We start from the raw sequence: 20,922 nt of genomic DNA, 5'->3' as shown, positions 1-20,922 counted from the left end.
ATGTTGCCCAGACTGGTCTCAAACTCCTGAGCTCAGGCGATCTGCCCACCTAGGCCTCCCAAAATGCTGGGATTACAGGTGCGAGCCACCATGCCAGGCCTGATTTTCTATCCAGGCCACTAAAACTTTCTCCATAGCAGCAATAAGGCTGCTTCACTTTCTTACCATTAATGTGCTCACTAAAGTTACACTTTTAATTTCCTCCAGATACTTCTCCTCTGAATTCACAACTTGGCTAACTGTCTGGCACACAAGTCCTAGCTTTCAGCCTGTCTCAGCTGTCAGCACGCCTTCCTCACTAAGAGTAATCATCTCTAGCTTTTGACTTTAAGTGACAGATGTGCGACTCTTCCTTTCACTTGAACACTTAGAGGCCATTGTAGAGTTATTAATTGGCCTAATTTCAATATTGTTGTGTTTCAGAGAATAGTGAGGCCTAAGGAAAGGGAGAGAGATGGGGAAACAGCCAATCAGTGGAGCAGTCAACAGATATTTACTAAGTTTGTGGACTTAGATGGGCATGGTTCATAGTGTCCCAAAACAATAACAATAGTAACCTCAAAGATTACTGATCACAGATCACCATAACAGATATAATAAGCATGAAAAAGTTTGAAATATTGCAGGAATTACCAAAATGTGCCACAGAGACACAAAGTGAGTGCATGCTGTTGGAAAAATGGTGCTGATAGACTTACTCCATGCAGGGTCGCCAGAAACCTATAATTTGTAAAAAAAAAAAAAAAAAAAAAAAAACAAACAAAAAAACAAAAAACAAACAAACAAAAAAGCAATATCTGAGGAGCACAATAAAGCAACATGCAGTAAAACAAGGTATTCCTGTATAAGGAGCCTCCTCATGATAACAGTAATTACTTCATTCCATCAGCTATTGATAATGTACCCACTATGCACAAGCACCATGTTAAGCATCAGAAAGGATTGAAAAAATTATGAAGCACGAATACTTTTCTGACCCCAAAAAACACCAACCCTAAAACATCCAACACGATATGTGACTATTTGTAAATGCCTGGTGCAAATAGATGGTAGAGATATTCTGTGGCAGACGGTCTATCATGGAAGTGGGGAAAAGTACAATGAATAACAGGGAGGGCTAAGCCTTCAAGAAAAAAGAAGAATAAGAGAAACAGAGAGCTGGAGCAGAGAATGTTCTAGGCCATGGGGTTATATAGGCAAGTCAAGGTTGCAAAAGCTGACAATCCTCCAAGGACCAACAAGAGGCCAGTATGTCTGTAGTGAAGGAGAGCAGAGGGGAAATCCTTCTGGAAAGGGAAGTCAGGGCCAGTTTGTGAAGGCCCTTAAATGCTAGGCTATTGCATCAGTGTCTGAACTGTAAGCAGTGGAGAGTCAAGCAATTTATCGGTAGTTTTTAACTTTAATTTTGGTAGAAATTACCGATCATTTTTTTAAAAAGCAGCAGTGCAAGTATATAGACCCTACCGCATGCTTAGGAAATCAGAATTCCTAAAGTTGGGCCTCAGGCATAAGTTCCATGAAAAAAATTCCACAGGCAATTCTGACATAGACCAAAAGTTGAAAGCCACTACTACAGAGTGTAGATTGCCATGAGTACCTTCTACAGCAGAGGGGTCAGAGGAAAGGAAACTAGAACTTGTGGAGTGCCACCCATTTCAGGTGACTTACAGGTATTATTTCATTTAGTCCTAACAACAAGCCTATGAGAAGAATACTATTTTCGTTTTAGAGACAAAGAAACTGATACTCAAGATATGTCACAAATGCAGTAAAACCAGGAATTCAAACTGAGGCTCCAGGCTCCAAGACCACTGCCTTTCCCACTCTACCACTTGACCTCCCATTAACAGCCTTGTGCATTTTCCCCTTGAAACTTACTGCAGCTCAAATTAAATAGCAAATGTGGTGTTAGAAAAACTCTCCTCCCATCCTCTTTTTTCTCCCTCAGTGACAGCTAAATTTTACCTTCCCTTTACCCTGAAACTGAGCCAAAACCACTGAGGGCTATAATTTCACACTAGGTTTATTTTTTTAAAGAAGCTAAATTAACTTCCTCATAACTTTCTTTCTCTTTCTTCTACGCTTTCCTCTATGACATCTCCCAATACACCTTGCAGTTCTGAAATTCCTTATTTAAAGCAGAACCCAAAATGGAATCCAAAATATTAAGTAATTACTTTAGTGATTTTCTTTTTACCCTAAGGCTGATGAGGATTGTCTATATCAGGTTTCACACAACATCCAAAAGAAATGATGATGACCCTCTGTTTAGCTTGCTACAAACAAACACGAAGAGACTAGGGTTTTCTTTGTCTGTTTGTTTTTTAGAGATGAGGTCTCACCATGTTCCACAGGCTGGAGTGCAGTAACTATTCATAGGCATGATGATTGCATACTACAGCCTTGAACTTCTGGTCTCAAGGGATCCTCCTATCTCAGTCTCTCAAGTAGCTGACAAGCATATACCACCTTGCCTGGCTCACTGTTGCTATTTTAACCCAAGGAAGTTCCTCATTCTGCTTTTGGAAACCGTTCTCTACGGGTAGAATTTTAGCCACTGTATGTGTGTATATTTCTGTGTGTATCTACAAGAGAAGCTTAATATCTCTCCTTAAATCAGTAATATATTTTCTTTTTTTTATTATTATACTTTAAGTTCTGGGATACATGTGCAGAACGTGCAGGTTTGTTACATAGGTATACAAGTGATACAAGTGCCACGGTGGTTTGCTGCACCCATCAGCCCGTCAACTACATTAGGTATTTCTCCTAATGCTGTCCCTCCCCTAGCCCCCAACCCCCCAACAGGCTCTGGTGTGTGATGTTCCCCTCCCTGTGTCCATGTGTTCTCATTGTTCAACTCCCACTTATGAGTGAGAACATGTGGTGTTTGGTTTTCTCTTTCTGTGTTTGCTGAGAATGATGGTTTCCAGCTTCATCCATGTCCCTGCAAAGGACATGAACTCATCCTTTTTTAAAGGTTGCATAGTATTCCATGATGCATATGTGCCACATTTTCTTTATCCAGTCTATCATTGATGGGGATTTGGGTTGGTTCCAAGTCTTTGCTATTGTGAATAGTGCTGCAATAAACATACATTAGCATGTGTCTTTATAGTAGAATTATTTATAATCCTTTGAGTATATGCACAGTAATAAGATTGCTGGGTCAAATGGTATTTCTAGTTCTAGATCCTTGAGGAATTGCCACACTGTCTTCCACAATGGTTGAACTAATTTATACTCCCACCAACAGTGTAAAAGCATTCCTATTTCTCCACATCCTCTCCAGCATCTGCTGTTTCCTGACTTTTTAATGATTGCCACTCTAACTGGTGTGAGATGGTATCTCATTGTGGTTTTGATTTGTGTTTCTCTAATGACCAGTGATAATGAGCTTTTTTTCATATGTTTGTTGGCCACGTAAATGTCTTCTTTTGAGAAGTGTCTTTTCATATCTTTCACCCACTTTCGATAAAGTTGTTGGGTTTTTTCTTCCAAATTTAAGTGCTTTGTAGATTCTGGATATTAGCCCTTTGTCAGATTGATAGATTGCAAAAATTTTCTCCCATTCTGTAGGTTTCCTGTTCACTCTGTTGATAGTTTCTTTTGCTGTGTAGAAGTTCTTTAGTTTAACTAGATCCCATTTGTCTATTTTGGCTTTCGTTGCCATTGCTTTTGGTGTTTTAGTCATGAAGTCTTTGCCTATGTCCTGAATGATATTGCCTAGGCTTTCTTCTAGGGTTTTTATGTTTTTATGTCTTACGTTTAAGTCTTTAATCCATCTTGAGTTAATTTTTGTATAAGGTGTAAGGAAGGGATCCAGTTTCAGCTTCCTGCATATGGCTAGTCAGTTTTCCCAACACCATTTATTAAACAGGGAATCGTTTCCCCATTGCTTGTTTTAATCAGGTTTGTCAAAGATCAGATGGCTGTAGATGTGTGGTGTTATTTCTGAGGCCTCTATTCTGTTGCATTGGTATATATATATATCTGTTTAGTACCAGTACCAGGGTGTTTTGGTTACTGTAGCCTTGTAGCATAGTTTGAAGTCAGGTAGCATGATGCCTCCAGCTTTGTTCTTTTTGCTTAGGGTTCTCTTGGCTATACAGGCTCTTTTTTGGTTCCATATGAAATTTAAAGTAGGTGTTTCTAATTCTGTGAAGAAAGTCGATATTTGCTTGATGGGCATAGCATTGAATCTATAAATTACTTTGGGCAGTATGGTCATTTTTCACAATATTGATTCTTCCTATCCATGAGCATGGAATGTTTTTCCATTTGTTTGTGTCCTCTGTTATTTTCTTGAGCAGGGGTTTGTAGTTCTCTTTGAAGAGGTCCTTCCCATCCCTTGTAAGTTGTATTCCTAGGTATTTTATTCTCTTTGTAGACATTGTGAATGGGAGTTCACTCAAGATTTGACTCTCTGTCTACTATTGGTATATAGGAATGCTTGTGATTTTTGCACACTGATTTTGTATCCTGAGACTTTGCTGAAGTCGCTTATCAGCTTAAGGAGATTTTGGACTGAGACTATGGGGTTTTCTAAATATACAATCATGTCATCTGCTAACAGAGACAATTTGACTTCCTCTCTTCCTATTTGAATACCTTTATTTCTTTCTCTGGCCTGATTTCCCTGGCCAGATCTTCCAATACTATGTTGAATCAGAGTGGTGAGAGAGCGCATCCTTGTCTTTGCTGGTTTTCAAAGGCAATGCTTCCATCTTTTGCTCATTTAGTATGATATGGGCTGTGGGTTTGTCATAAATGGCTCTTACTATTTTGAGATACGTTCCTTCAATACCTAGTTTATTGAGAGTTTTTAGCATGAAGGGCTGTTGAATTTTATCAAAGGCCTTTTCTGCATCTATTGAGATAATTATGTGGTTTTTGTCATTGGTTCTGTTTATGTGATGGATTACATTTATTTATTTGCATATGTTGAACCAGCCTTGCATCGCAGGGATAAAGCCAACTTGATCATGGTGGATAAGATTTTTGATGTGCTGCTGGATTCAGTTTGCCAGTATTTTTTTTGAGGATTTTCAAATTGATGTTCATCAGGGATACTGGCCTAAAATTTTCATTTTTTGTTGTGTCTTTGCCAGGTTTTGGTATCAGGATGATGCTGGCTTCATGAAATGAGTTAGGGAGGATTCCCTCTTTTTCTATTTATTGGAATAGTTTCAGAAGGAATGGTACCAGCTCCTCTTTGTACCTCTGGTAGAATTCAGCTGTGAATCCATCTGGTCCTAGACTTTTTTTGGTTGGTAGGCTATTAATTATTGCCTCAATTACACAACGTGTTATTGGTCTATTCAGAGATTTGACTTCTTCCTGGTTTAGTCTTGGGAGGGTGTATTGGTCCAGGAATTTATCCATTTCTTCCAGATTTTCTAGTTTATTTGCATAGAGGTGTGTACAGTATTCTCTGATTGTAGTTTGTATTTCTGTGGGACCAGTGGTGATATCCCCTTTATCATTTTTTATTGCATCTATTTGAGTCTTCTCTCTTTTCTTCTTTACTAGTCTGGCTAGTTGTCTATCTATTTTGTTGATCTTTTCAAAAAATCACGTCCTGGATTCACTGTCTCTATCTCCTTCAGTTCTGCTCTGATCTTAGTTATTTCTTGCCTTCTGCTAGCTTTTAAATTTGTTTGCTGTTGCTTCTCTAGTTCTTTTAATTGTGATGTTAGGGTGTCAATTTTAGATCTTTCCTGATTTCTCTTGTGGGCATTTAGTGCTATCAATTTTCCTCTAAACACTGCTTTAGCTGTGTCCCAGAGATGTTGATACATTGTGACTTTGTTCTCATTGGTTTCAAATAACTTATTTCTGCCTTCATTTTGTTATTTACCCAGTAGTCATGCAGGAGCAGATTGCTCAGTTTCCATGTAGTTGTGTGGTTTTGAGTGAGTTTCTTAATCCTGAGTTCTAATTTGATTGCACTGTGGTCTGAGCAACTGTTTGTTATCATTTCCATTCTTTTGCATTTGCTGAGGAGTGTTTTCCTTCCAATTATGTGGTCAATTTTAGAATAAGTGTGATGTAGTGCTGACAAGAATGTATATTCTGCTAATTTGGGGTGGAGAGTTCTGTAGATGTCTATTAGGTCTGCTTGGTCCAAAGCTGAGTTCAAGTCCTGGATATCCTTAGTAATTTTCTGTCTCAATATTCTTTCTAATATTGACAGTGGGGTGTTAAAGTCTCCCACTATTATTGTGTGGGAGTCTAAGTCTCTTTGTAGGTCTCTAAGAACTTGCTTTATGAATCTGGGTGCTCCTGTATTGGGTGCATATATATTTAGGACAGTTAGCTCTTCTTGTTGCATTGATCCCTTTACCATTATATAATGCCCTTCTTTTTCTCTTTTGATCTTTGTTGGTTTAAAGTCTGTTTTATCAGGGACTAGGATTGCAACCACTGCTTTTTATTTTTTCTTTCCATTTGCTTGGTAAATTTTCCTGCATCTCTTTCTTTTGAGCCTATATGTGTCTTTGCAGGTGAGATGGGTCTCCTGAATACAGCACATTGATGGGTCTTGACTCTTTATCCAATTTGCCAGTCTGTGTCTTTAAATTGGGAGCATTTAGCCCATTTACATTTAAGGTTAATATTGTTATGTGTGAATTTGATCCTGTCATTATGATGCTAGCTGATTATTTTCCCATTAGTTATGCACTTTCTTCATAGCATTGATAGTCTTTACAATTTGGCATGTTTTTGCAGTGGCTGGTACCGGTTGTTCCTTTCCATGTTTACATAGTGCTTCCTTCAGGAGCTCTTGTAAGGCAGTCCTGATGGTGACAAAATCTCTAAGCATTTGCTTGTCTGTAAAGGATTTTATTTCTTCTTCTCTTATGAAACTTAGTTTGGCTGGACATGAAATTCTGGGTTGAAAATTCTTTTATTTAAGAATGTCGAATATTGGCCCCCACTCTCTTCTGGCTTGCAGGGTTTCTGCAGAGAGATCAGCTGTTAGTTTGATGGGCTTCCATTTGTGGGTAACCTGACCTTTCTCTCTGGCTGCCCTTAACATTTTTTCCTTCATTTCAACCTTGGTCAATCTGATGATTATATGTCTTGGGGTTGCTCTTCTCAAGGAGTATCTTTGTGGAGGTCTCTGTATTTCCTGAATTTGAATGTTGGCCTGTCTTGCTAGGTTGGGGAAGTTGTCCTGGATAATATCCTGAAGAGTGTTTTCCAATCTGGTTCCATTCTCCCTGTCACTTCCAGGTACACCAATCAAACATAGGTTTGGTCTTTTCACATAGTCCCATATTTCTTGGAGGCTTTGTTCATTCCTTTTCATTCTTTTCTCCCTAATCTTGTCTTCACACTTTATTTCATTAATTTTATCTTTAATCTCTGCTATCCTTTCTTCTGCTTGATCGATTTGGCTATTGATACTTGTGTATGCTTCACAAAGTTCTTGTGCTGTGTTTTTCAGCTCCATCATGTCATTTATTTCTTCTCTAAACTGGTTATTCTAGCTAGCAATTCATCTAACCTTTTTTCAAGGTTCTTAGCTTCCTTGCATTGGGTTAGAACATGCTCCTTTAGCTCGGATGAGTTTGTTATTACCCACCTTCTGAAGCTTGCCTCTGTCAATTCATCAAACTCATTCTCCATCCTGTTTTTTTCCCTTGCTGGTGAGGATTTGTGATCCTTTGGAGGAGAAGAGGCATTCTGATTTTTGGAATTTTCAGCCTTTTGTGCTGGTTTTTCCTCATCTTCATGGATTTATCTACCTTTGGCCTTTGATGTTGGTGACCTTCGGATGGGGTTTCTGTGTGGACGTCCTTTTTATTTGATGTTGATGCTATTCCTTTCTGTTTGTTAGTTTTCCTTCTAACAGTCAGGCCCCTCTGCTGCAGGTCTGCTGGAGTTCGCTGGAGGTCCACTCCAGACCCTCTTTGCCTGGGTCTCACCAGCAGAGGCTGCAGAACAAGAAAGATTGCTGCCTGTTTCTTCCTCTGGAAGCATTGCCCTAGAGGGGCACCTGCCAGATGCCAGCTGGAGTTGTCCCATATGAAGTCTGTCAACCCCTGATGGAAGGTGTCTCCCAGTCAGGAGGCACAGGGGGGCAGGGACCCACTTGAGGAGGCAGTCTGTCCCTTAGCAGAGCTTGAGCACTGTGCTGGGAGATCTGCTGCTCTCTTCAGCGCTTGCAGGCAGGAACGTTTCAGTTTGCTGAAACTGTGCCCACAGCCACCTCTTCACCCAGGTGCTCTTTCCCATGGAGATGGGAGTTTTATCTATAAGCCCCTGACTGGGGCTGCTACCTTTCTTTCAGAGGTGCCCTGCCCAGAGCGGAGGCATCTCGAGAGGCAGTCTCGCTACAGTGGCTTTGCAGAGCTGCAGAGGGCTCTGCCCAGTCCGAACTTCCCAGAGGCTTTGTTTAAAGTGAGGGGAAAACTGCCTACTCAAGCCTTTGTACTGGCAGACGCCCCTTTCCCCACCCAGCTTGAGCATCCCAGGTCAACTTCAGACTGCTGTGCTGGCAGTGAGAATTTCAAGCCAGTACGTCTTAGCTTGTGGGGCTCTGTGGAGGTGGGATCCGCTGAGCTACATCACTTGGCTCCCTGGCTTCAGCCCCCTTTCCAGGGGAGTGAAGGGTTCTCACTGACATTCCAGGTGCCACTGGTGTATGAGAAAAAACTCCTTGCAGCTAGCTCGGTGTCTGTCCAAATGGCTACCCAGTTTTGTACTTGAAACCCACGGACCTGGTGGCATAGGCACTCGAGGGAATCTCCTGGTCTGCGGGTTGCAAAGACTGTTGGAAAAGCATAGTATCTGGCAGGAGTGCACCGTCCCTCACGGCACAGTCTCTCACGGCTTCCCTTGGTTAGGGGAGGGAGTTCCCCAACCCCTTGCGCTTCCCAGGTGAGGCCACACCCCACACTGCTTCGGCTTGCCTTCTGTGGGCTGCACCCACTGTCTAACCAGTCCCAGTGAGATAAGCAGAATACCTCAGTGGAAATCCAGAAATCACCTGCCTTCTGCGTTGATCTCTCTGTGAGCTGCAGATGGAAGCTGTTCCTATTCGGCCATCTTGCCAGTCACTTCTAGTACTATATTTTCAGCCATCTGTAAGATTCTCACCTTACATTCCTACTTCTATTTTTCCCAAAGCATGTTAAATTTTTCAGATTGAAATCTTTATTTTTCTGACTTATTATCAGTCACATGATGCAAAAGACATTTTCCTCTTTTACATAAACTTTCTTAATACCTCCACAATTGATTATTTTATAATTTGTTTTTCCCCTGCTTTAAACTGGAATCCTGAGTAAATGCTAACCATCCTTTCTTTTCAGCTTTAAGTCTTCTTCTAATGCATTTGACAGTTTGTATACGGCTTCCTTCACATCACTGGGGATAAAGTCTGTCACTCTGGGGTTCAGACCCATGTGGATTATCCTAGTACTATGTATGGGAGGGCCTAAGCTTGATTTCTCAGCCAAAGAGGCTCAGACAAAAACATCTATACCTATCCTTTAAATATCCACTTTGACAAGTGACACTTTCATTCTACCAGGAAGAATCAATTGCCCATGTTAGGAAGCCTTAATGATTCTTTGATTACTTGTCAGGCTACTGTGTACAGATATGCAAACTGTGTAATGCAAGCCCCAAGGGACAACAGTTACCTAGGTTACAATGTGAATAGTGCCCTCTGGACTTACACAGTGGTGTACATTCTGCTCAAACATACATGGCAGCCGTTCAGTAGGAAACTTCTTTTCCCCTAATGTAAGTAGTTTTTATATCTTTATTGGATTTTTTTTTGCCTAATCGTTGTAATCAAGATCTTGTAAATTAAAAATCAGTGATGAAGACTGTCCATAAATCTTCCTATTTCTTAAGCCTACTTTCTTAAGAAAGTAAAGATATGCTTTTCCTATATTTTTATTATCCCTTAGAATAGATTTTGTTTTAAAAAGCGGGGATTTCTGGCAAGATGGCTGAATAGGAACAGCTCCGGTCTGCAGCTCCCAGCGAGATCGACACAGAAGACTAGTGATTCCTGTATTTCCAACTGAGGTAACTTGTTCATCTCAATGGGACTGGTTGGACAGTGGGTGCAGCCCATGGAGGGTGAGCTGAAGCTGGGTGGGGCATCGCCTCACCCAGGAAATGCAAGGAGTTGGGAGATTTCTCTTTCCTAGCTAAGGGAAGCCATGAGAGATTGTACTGGGAGGAATGGTACACTCCTGCCCAGTTATTGCACTTTTCCCAAGGTCTTCACAACCGTAGATTGAACAGGAGATTCCCTCCAGTGCCTGGCTCTGTGGGTCCCATGCCCATGGAGCCAGCAAGCTAAGATCCATTGGCTTGAAATTCTCGCTGCTAGCGCAGCAGTCTGAGACCAACCTAGGAAGCTGGAGCTTGGCAGGGAGAGGGGTGTCAGCCATTGCTGAGGCTTGAGTAGGTGGTTTTATGCTCACAGTGTAAACAAAGCCTCTGGGAAGTTTGAACTGGGTGGAGTTCACCACAGCTCAGCAAGGCTGACTGCCTCTCTAGGTTCCACCTCTGTGGGCAGCATATCTCTGAGCAAAAGCCAGAGGCCCCAGTCAGGGACTTACAGATAAAACCCCCATCTCCCTGGGACAGAGCAGCTGAGGGAAGGGGCAGCTGTGGGCACTGCTTCAGCAGACCTAAACGTCCCTGCCTGACACCTCTGAAGAGAGCAGTTGTTCTCCCAGCACAGCATTTGAGCTCTGATAACGGGCAGACTGCCTCTTCAAGTGGATCCCTGACACTCGTGTAGCCTGACTGGGAGACACCTTCCACAGGGGCCAACAGACACCTCATACAGGAGAGCTCTGGCTGGCATCTGGTGGGTGCCCCTCTGGGGCAAACTTCCAGAGGAAGGATCAGACAGCAATATTTGCAGTTCTGCAGCTTCCGCTGGTGGTACTCAGGCAAAAAAGGTCAGGAGTGGACCTCCAGCAAACACCAACAGACCTGCAGCTGAGAGGCCTGACTGTTAGAAGGAAAACTAACAAACAGAAAGGAATAGCATCAACATCAACAAAAAGGACATCCACACCATCTGTAGGTCACCATCAAAAACCAAAGGTAGATAAAACCACAAAGATGGGGAGAAACAAGCACAGAAAGGTGAAAATTCCAAAAACCAGAATGTCTCTTCTCCTCCAAAGGATCACAAATCCTCGCCAGCAAGGGGAAAAAAATTGGATGCATAATGAGTTTGACGAATTGACAGAAGTGGGCTTCACAAGGTGGATAATAACAAACTCATCTGAGCTACAGGAGCATGTTCTAACCTAATGCAAGGAAGCTAAGAACCTTGAAAAAAGGTTAGACAAATTGCTAACTAGAATAACCAGTTTAGAGAAGAACATAAATGAACTGATAAGGCTGAAAAACACAGCACAAGAACTTTGTGAAGCATACACAAATATCAATAGCTGAATCGATCAAGAGGAAGAAAGGATATCAGTGATTGAAAACCAACTTAATGAAATAAAGTGAGAAGACAAAATTAGAGAAGAAAGAGTGAAAAAGAATGACCAAAGCCTCCAAGAAATATGGGACTATGTGAAAAGACCAAATCAGCGTTTGATTGGTGTACCTGAAACTGATGGGGAAAATGGAACCAAGTTGGAAAAACATTCTCCAGGATATTATTCAGGAGAACTTCCCTAACCTAGCAAGGCAGGCCAACATTCAAATTCAGGAAATACAGAGAACACCACAAAGATATTCCTTGAGAAGAGCAACCCCAAGAAACATAATCATCAGATTCACAAAGGTTGAAATGAAGGAATAAATGTTAAGGGCAGCCAGAGAGAAAGGTTGGGTTACCCACAAGGGGAGGCCCATCAGACTAACAGCTGATCTCTCTGCAGAAACCCTGCAAGCCAGAAGAGAGTGGGGGCCAATATTCAACATTCTTAAAGAAAAGAATTTTCAACCCAGAATTTCATGTCCAGCCAAACTAAGTTTCATAAGAGAAGAAGAAATAAAAGCCTTTACAGACAAGCAAATGCTGAGAGATTTTGTCACCACCAGGTTTGCCTTACATGAGCTCCTGAAGGAAGCACTAAACATGGAAAGGAACAACCGGTACCAGCCACTGCAAAAACATGCCAAATTGTAAAGACCATCAATGCTATGAAGAAACTGCATCAACTAACAGGCAAAATAATCAGCTAGCATCATAATGACAGGATCAAATTCACACATAACAATATTAACCTTAAATGTAAATGGGCTAAATGCCCCCAATTAAAAGACACAGACTGGCAAATTGGATAAAGAGTCAAGACCCATCAATGTGCTGTATTCAGGAGACCCATCTCACCTGCAAAGACACACATAGGCTCAAAAGAAAGAGATGCAGGAAGATTTACCAAGCAAATGGAAAGAAAAGAAAAAGCAGAGGTTGCAATCCTAGTCTCTAATAAAACAGACTTTAAACCAACAAAGATCAAAAGAGAAAAAGAAGGGCATCATATAATGGTAAAGGGATCAATGCAACAAGAAGAGCTAACTATCCTAAATATATATGCACCCAATACAGGAGCACCCAGATTCATAAAGCAAGTTCTTAGAGACCTATAAAGAGACTTAGACTCCCACACAATAATGGTGGGAGACCTTAACACCCCATTGTCAGTATTAGACAGATCAATGAGACAGAAAATTACTAAGGATATCCAGGACTTGAACTCAGCTTTGGACCAAGCAGACCTAATAGACATCTACAGAACTCTCCACCCCAAATTAGCAGAATATACGTTCTTCTCAGCACCACATCACACTTATTCTAAAATTGACCACATAGTTGAAGTAAAACACTCCTCAGCAAATGCAAAAGAATGGAAATGATAACAAACAGTTGCTCAGACCACAGTGCAATCAAATTAGAACTCAGGATTAAGAAACTCACTCAAAACCACACAACTACATGGAAACTGAGCAATCTGCTCCTGCATGACTACTGGGTAAATAACAAAATGAAGGCAGAAATAAGTTATTTGAAACCAATGAGAACAAAGTCACAATGTATCAACATCTCTGGGACACAGCTAAAGCAGTGTTTAGAGGAAAATTGATAGCACTAAATGCCCACAAGAGAAATCAGGAAAGATCTAAAATTGACACCCTAACATCACAATTAAAAGAACTAGAGAAGCAACAACAAACAAATTTAAAAGCTAGCAGGAGGCAAAAAATAACTAAGATCAGAGCAGAACTGAAGGAGATAGAGACACAAAGAACCCTTCAAAAAATCAGTGAATCCAGGACCTGATTTTTTGAAAAGATCAACAAAATAGATAGACCACTAGCCAGACTAATAAAGAAGAAAAGAGAGAAGAATCAAATAGACGCAATAAAAATGGTAAAGGGGATATCACCACTGATCCCACAGAAATACAAACTACAATCAGAGAATACTGTACACAACTCTATGCAAATAAACTAGAAAATCTGGAAGAAATGGATAAATTCCTGGACAAATACACCCTCCCAAGACTAAACCAGGAAGAAGTCAAATCTCTGAATAGACCAATAACAGGTTGTGTAATTGAGGCAATAACTAATAGCCTACCAACCAAAAAAAGTCTAGGACCAGATGGATTCACAGCTGAATTCTACCAGAGGTACAAAGAGGAGCTGGTACTATTCCTTCTGAAACTATTCCAATCAATAGAAAAAGAGGGAATCCTCCTTAACTCATTTCATGAGGCCAGCATCATCCTGATACCAAAACCTGGCAGAGACACACAAAAAAAACGAAAATTTTAGGCCAATGTTCCTGATGAACATCAATTCGAAAATCCTCAAAAAAAATACCGGCAAACTGAATCCAGCAGCACATCAAAAAGCTTATCCAACACGATCAGGTTGGCTTTATCCCTGAGATGCAAGGCTGGTTCAATATACGCAAATCAATTAACATAATCCATCACATAAACAGAACCAATGACAAAAACCACATAATTATCTCAATAGATGCAGAAAAGGCTTTTGATAAAATTCAACAGCCTTCATGCTAAAAACCCTCAATAAACTAGGTATTGAAGGAACACATCTCAAAATAACAAGAGCTATTTGTGACAAACTCACAGCCAGTATCTTACTGAATGGACAAAAGCTGGAAGATTTCCCTTTGAAAACCAGCAAAGACAAGGATGCCCTCTCTCACCACTCTGATTCAACATAGTGTTGGAAGATCTGGCCAGGGCAATCGGGCAAGAGAAAGAAATAAAGGGTATTCAAATAGGAAGAGAGGAAGTCAAATTGTCTCTGTTAGCAGATGACATGATTGTATATTTAGAAAACCCCATAGTCTCAGCCCAAAATCTCCTTAAGCTGATAAGCAACTTCAGCAAAGTCTCAGGATACAAAATCAATGTGCAAATGTCACAAGCATTCCTATACACCAATAACAGACAAACGGAGAGTCAAATCATGAGTGAACTCCCATTCAAAAAGTCTACAAAGTGAATGAAACACCTAGGAATACAACTTACAAGGGATGTAAAGGACCTCTTCAAGGAGAACTACAAACCACTGCTCAAGGAAATAACAGAGGACACAAACAAATGGAAGAACATTCCATGCTCATGGATAGGAAGAATTGATATCATGAAAATGGCCATACTGCCCAAAGTAATTTATAGATTCAATGCTATCCCCATCAAGCTACCACCGACTTTCTTCACAGAATTGGAAAAACTACTTTAAATTTCATATGGAACCAAAAAAGAGCCTGCATAGCCAAGACAATCCTAAGCAAAAAGAACAAAGCTGGAGGCATCACACTACCTGACTTCAAACTGTGCTACAAGGCTACAGTAACCAAAACAGCATGGTACTGTTACTGAAGCAGATATATAGACCAACGGAACAGAATAGAGGCCTCAGAAATAATGCCACACATCTACAACCATCTGATCTTTGACAAACCTGACAAAAACAAGCAATGGGAAAAGGATTCCCTATTTTATAAATGGTGCTGGGCAAACTGACTAGCCATAGGCAAAAAGCTGAAACTGGATCCCTTCCTTACATCTTATACAAAAATTAACTCAAGATGGATTAAACACTTAAACATAAGACATAAAACCATAGAAACCCTAGAAGAAAACCTAGGCAATACCATTCAGGACATAGGCATGGGCTAAGACTTCATGACTAAAACACCAAAAGCAATGGCAACAGAAGCCAAAATAGACAAATGGGATCTAATTAAACTAAGGAGCTTCTGCACAGCAAAAGAAACTATCATCAGAGTGAACAGGCAACCTACAGATGGGGAGAAAATTTTTGCAATCTATCTATCTGACAAAGGGCTAATATCCAAAATCTACAAAGAACGTAAACAAATTTACAAGAAAAAAAACAACAACCCCATCAAAAAATGGGTGAAGGACATGAACAGACACTTCTCAAAAGAAGACATTTATGCAGCCAACAAACTTATGAAAAAATGCGCATCATCACTGGTTATTAGAGAAACACAAATCAAAACCACAATGTGATACCATCTCACCCCAGTTAGAATGTTGATCATTAAAAAGTCAGGAAACAACAGATGCTGGAGAGGATGTGGAGAAATAGGAATGCTTTTACACTGTTGGTGGGAGTATAAATTAGTTCAACCACTGTGGAAGACAGTGTGGTGATTCCTCATGGATGTAGAACTAGAAATACCATTTGACAAAGCAATCTTATGACTGGGTATATACCCAAGGAATTATAAATAATTCTACTATAAAGACACATGCACACATATGTTTATTGCAGCACTCTTCACAATAGCAAAGTGTTGGAACCAACCCAAATCCCCATCAATGATAGACTGGATAAAGAAAATGTGGCACATATACACCATAGAATACTATGCAGCCATAAAAAAGGATGAGTTCATGTCCTTTGCAGGAACATGGATTAAGCTGCAAACCATCATTCTCAGCAAACTAACACAAGAAGAGAAAACCAAACGCCTCATGTTCTCACTCATAAGTGGGAGTTAAACAATGAGAACACATGGACACGGGGAGGAGAAAATCACACACTGGAGCCTGTTAGGGGGTGGCGGACTGGGGGAGGGATAGCATCAGGAGAAATACCTAATGTAAATGACAAGTTGATGGGTGCAGCAAACCAACAATTCACATGTGTACCTATGTAACAAACCTGCATGTTGTGCACATGTACCCCAGAACTTAACATAAAATAAATTTTAAAAATCATAAAGCTATTGAGATGATGAAAAATAAAAGATAGTGTTACCCTTAGTAAATAAAACTGAGTTGTAAGAAAGGAGAGTTATTTGTTTGTTTGTTTGTTTTGTTTTTTTTTAGTAGAGACAGTGTTTCACCATGTTGGCCAGGCTGATCTCGAACTCCTGACCTCAAGTGATCCACCCGCCTTGGCCTCTCAAATATTGGGATTACAGGCATGAGCCACCGTGCCCGGCCAGAGGGGAGAGTTATCAATAGGAGGCAAAACAGAGTCATCACACCAAAAATGCATTAAACAGAGTCATATATTTATTTCAAAACATTAAGTTGACTTCCCATTAATAAATACTTTAACACTGAGTGTAGAAAAACTTGTGCATATTCTATAAAGATAATTTATTAAAGAATCAGAGAAAAAGACAGTTCTTTACCTCTAGGCTATTGATAAAACCATCTGGGAGTGGGAACAGCTTCAGGAATGTTACAGGGGAATTGAGGGAGGGCAAGAGAGGATTTGATAAAATGAGGAAAAATGTTCTACTCTCCTTTCTTTCCTGGAGCCTTAAAATTAAAAATCTGGAATTGAAAAATATACTTTCACACACATATCTGCTTCAATGGGTGCTGTCTTTCTCAATTTTGGAGAAGAATCACTAGTTAGTGGTCAGGGTCAAAAATTGCAAATAAGTTCCCAATTTTAGTCTAGGTTAGATCACTCTGGTTAATCATAGGGCCATGATGCCCTCAGAACTCAAGCAGGAGCTGCTGCTACTTGTGCTTAAAGCTGAGGCACGAACGCAATATCATTTACTGGAGAACTGAAGATGCTGCGCAATGCTAACAGCCCCTCTCAGAAGTTCTGTGTGGCTCTGAGTCCTTACAGTGCAGTTGTTGTATTAACCCATCATCCAGTGAGCTGGCCAGTAGTTCAGCCCCTCCACTTGCTGCAGCTGCCGCAAGACACATTCACCAGGCAGTTGCCCAGGCCTCTCACCCATGGGGGGAACACATCTGGCCACTTTTTTTTTTCTGTAAACCTCAAATGAAACAGAATCTCACAGATGTGGGGTCCCCCTCCTAATTGTAATAAACGTTAGAGAAATGCTCCAGAAAGGAACAAAGGGAGACCCTCTCAGATCAGCCTAAAACCAGAGTGGAATAGGGCTCCTCTGGGCGGTTTAAGGGCACAGAAAGGACCCTCAGCTACTCCTGGCCTCCCCAGGTCTCTTTCCCAGAAGACACAACTTTCCAGGCTGCCAAAAGTAATAGAAGTCAAAACCCTCAAAACCACCACTGCTCTCGGGAAGTTTTTGAGTAGGATGAGGAAGAAAGAAGAGAGCCCTCCTTCATTTTGTTACACGATCTCAAGGCCAAGAGCAAGTAGAAGATGTCTAAAGAGAACAAAAGAGGTTTCTTCCTGGTACTGTACTACAGATCAGCAACAGTTTCACAGGGAGGCGTTGGCTCAGGTTCTGGTACATTTGAAGATAACTGAAGGCCAAGACTTAGCCAAGGAAGGACACCAGCAGAACAACTAGATACACTATCACTACTGCGAGTGTTAGAATCATGGGGCAGATTTTTTTTTTTTTTAAGCTAGGGGGACCTCAGGAATCTACTAGTTGAATTTCTTCATTTTCCAGAAGAGGCCCTGAGGCCTGGAGAGGGCAAGCAGCCTACTGAGGCTGCACAGCTTGTTATATCTGCTTGGGGGTCATGGATAGGGGCAGAGGGGCTGCAGTGAGCAATACAATGCAGGGGAACCTTGCACACCACATGGTGAGTTACATTCAGACCCCCCTGCAAATGAAAACTTCCCACCCCTGGGCTGTTTCCCGTTGATTTGTCACAGAAGTGGACAGGTCCTGGACTGAGCTTGTCCATGGGCTTCCCTCAGGAGGGGAGGAGGAATGCAGGAGTCTCTTTACTTCCCAGTTCGGGAGGCCATCTGGATGGCTCTGATCCACTCTGTGCGCTCCTTGGGGGTGGCTGCTTGCAAGAAATAGTGCACTTCATCTGCTGTGATGATCTCAAAAAGGTTCTCTTCCTCACTCTTCCTGCCTGGGGAAAGAGAAGGCAAATGGCAGCACGCACAGGCATCAGAAAGACCACTTGCTCCACCCTCCTCTGCAAGCCATGAAATCTCTGTTTTCTTCGTGTTCTAAGGAAATTGACTATGTGGCTTTCAAACATACAAACAAGGTATGATTATAGGATAATTCATTGCACAGTTATATACATAGTATTGATAGAGTAGATACATAGTATGACTGTGTGTATATATATATTTTTAAGAAATAGGTAAAACACTTAAGGAGAAACATTTTCTTTCATAGTTTACAGGCAAACTAAATTTCTCACCTTTGTATAGCAACAGCGTTTAATGAGTAACCTCTAATAGTTTCTAATGGGTACCTTCCCTCTGCTCATAATATAAATCAAGGGTTGCTCCTGATATCTACCTATCTATCTGTCTTTCTGTTAATATAGATTTGTATTTATAATATATATTTATATATTTATATTTATAATACAGATGTGTGTGTGTATATATATATATGTTTATATACATACACAAAGCCAGACCTACCAACAGTACCACAAGTTATAGCCTGAACTGTTTTTCATCAAGCACTAAGTCAGAGTTCTGCTGAAGACTAAAAGGCAATAACCTGGCCAATACTGTGACAAGATTTAAAACATCACAAATCAAATAAAGAACCAGCATGCTCCCTGCCCTAAAACCAAAGTATAATTCTAGGTGGTGGGAGTGGAGGTGGGCAAATTCAGGCACAGTAAAACTCTAGGCATTTGCAGTTATGATGTTTTCCTGTCAGCCTTTATCATACTACAAACCAAAATGTCAGGACAAAACCAGGGTTTGGGATGTCAAAACCACATCACCCCAGAGATACAATTTGTCCTCAGCACCTGAGAAGTCAAACTACACCCACGTGGTTATTCCATGCACCAAATCATAGCCTTGTGGTCTGGGGTCCTCTAGTGCAACCCCCTCACTGCTCTTCTTCTCAGCCATTGTGAAGTGATAGAGTTTTCCCAGCATTGCTCAGGGACTTGCTTGAGGCATCCACAAAGCCATCCAACTCCCCAAGGCCTGGAGAGCCTGGACAGCAGTTGGGAGACAAAAAATAACTCTGGTTTCTCCAAGGTTTTCAGACAGTAAATTCATTCCTGCTTTTTTTTTTGAGACAGAGTATTGCTCTGTCACCCAGGCTGGAGTGCAGTAGCACAATCTCAGCTCATTGCAACTTGCCAAGCTCAAACAATTCACAGGCATGTGCCACCATGCCCAGCTAATTTTTGTATTTTTAGTAGAGATGGGGTTTCACCACGTTAGCCAGGCTGGTCTCGAAATCCTGATCACAAGTGATCTGCCCTCCTCGGCCTCCCAAAGTGCCGGGATTACAGGTGGGAGCCACCATGCCTGCCCCATTCCTGCTTATCCTGATTAATTGATTGATTGATTAATGTTGGCCCAGGATGTCCAGGTGTGGGAGGGGAGTCTGAGCAGACCCACCTCTCTCACACAGAAATTCATCTTACCATTTGAGTTGCTCTCCACTGAAGTCACCACACAGCCTCTCAAGTGAATTGCTCCCAGGGGATCTTCTGCCTAAAGAAGAAAGGAGTTGTTCATTATGTTTCCAAAATGCAGAGTATAGATAGACCTCATCCTCTTGGTGAAAAAGCCAGACTCACTCTAATATAGATCAGGGCCCCCCAAAATAAGTAAGAGCAGAAGGAGATTAAAGAAAAACTGCTGACAGATCTAAGGTCCTTCCAGATCCTCCACACCCTGCTTCAGTGGGGCCAGGAGGCTCAATGAGAAAATGCAAGACGATCTGGACTTCAATCTGGAGAAAAGTGACAGGAGAGGTGGAGACACTGAGGTCACTGTATCCCACTAAAAAAGAGCTACATGTTTCCAGAGCTCTTTGGTCCCATGCACCTGATGCAGCAATATAACCACCCAGGGGAAGTCAAATAGCCCAGTGCTGCAAGCGGAGGGTGAGCACCCTACCCAGAGTTGTCTTCATGCTTTAAAAGTGGTTCATTTTATGGTGGAAAAAGTCCTCTTCGACAATCAACAGCCCAAATTGCTGGACTTAAACAATACCCTCATCCAAGTTGACCTGGATGAGGAATTATCACCTTTATGCATATTAAACCATGGACTGATTTAATTCCCCTGAAAATATCAGATTGGGGAAAAATATGTTGAGTTGACCAAATAAATTATAATATAGTGATATTTTGTTCCATCCCTAAGCTTATACTGACCTCAGAGGCCCAAGATCTCAGATCTTTGCATTGAAAGGGGATAGAAAAAGGTAGAGGAGAATGGGAGAAAAAAAAGTGGGCCAGTAAAGAGAAAAAGGGGATATCAACAGAGTAGAGAGGGGAATAGGAAGCCCAGATTATAAATGCAGTGGATTTATTTATTTGAATGGATTTATGAACCACAGGACCTTACCCCAGCAGGGTCATAGTAGTGCAGGTAGGCAGGGTCTTCTCTCAAGATGAACTTCCTCACTTTCCAGTTTTTCCTTCTATGCCCCTGTATCCAGGATCAACATTAAAAGAAGGGATGGTGAATTCCCAGCATCACTCTGTACAAACAATACCTACAGAATAATTATTTGCTGAATTGAGAAAAGAAAGAGAAAATGAA

At 41.2% G+C, this 20,922-nt stretch overlaps 1 protein-coding gene across 2 annotated transcripts in view, besides 1 other annotated feature; it reads right to left on the bottom strand.

Moving 5' to 3' along the window:
* Positions 8,761-8,810: a silencer, noted in NCBI's record as "silent region_11590". NCBI's record gives its function as "represses an Ori minimal core promoter by ATAC-STARR-seq in GM12878 lymphoblastoid cells {active_cell/tissue: GM12878}" and the evidence as "EXISTENCE:reporter gene assay evidence [ECO:0000049][PMID:35858748]".
* The window catches only part of PLEK (pleckstrin), a 32,172-nt gene continuing 27,766 nt past the window's right edge, over positions 16,517-20,922 (bottom strand). For both annotated transcript variants that reach the window (NM_002664.3, XM_047444772.1), the window contains 3 exons: positions 20,725-20,808; positions 19,794-19,863; positions 16,517-18,290 (listed from right to left, as the gene is read on the bottom strand). In NM_002664.3, the coding sequence (NP_002655.2) occupies positions 18,154-18,290; positions 19,794-19,863; positions 20,725-20,808 (291 nt within the window). In that variant the 3' untranslated portion in view covers positions 16,517-18,153. The remainder of the gene's footprint in view (positions 18,291-19,793; positions 19,864-20,724; positions 20,809-20,922) is intronic.

Source organism: Homo sapiens, chromosome 2 (assembly GCF_000001405.40).
Source record: "Homo sapiens chromosome 2, GRCh38.p14 Primary Assembly".
NCBI lineage: Eukaryota > Metazoa > Chordata > Mammalia > Primates > Hominidae > Homo > Homo sapiens.
The sequence above is the reverse complement of the archived record's forward strand: the minus strand, read 5'-3'. Positions and strand labels throughout refer to the sequence as shown.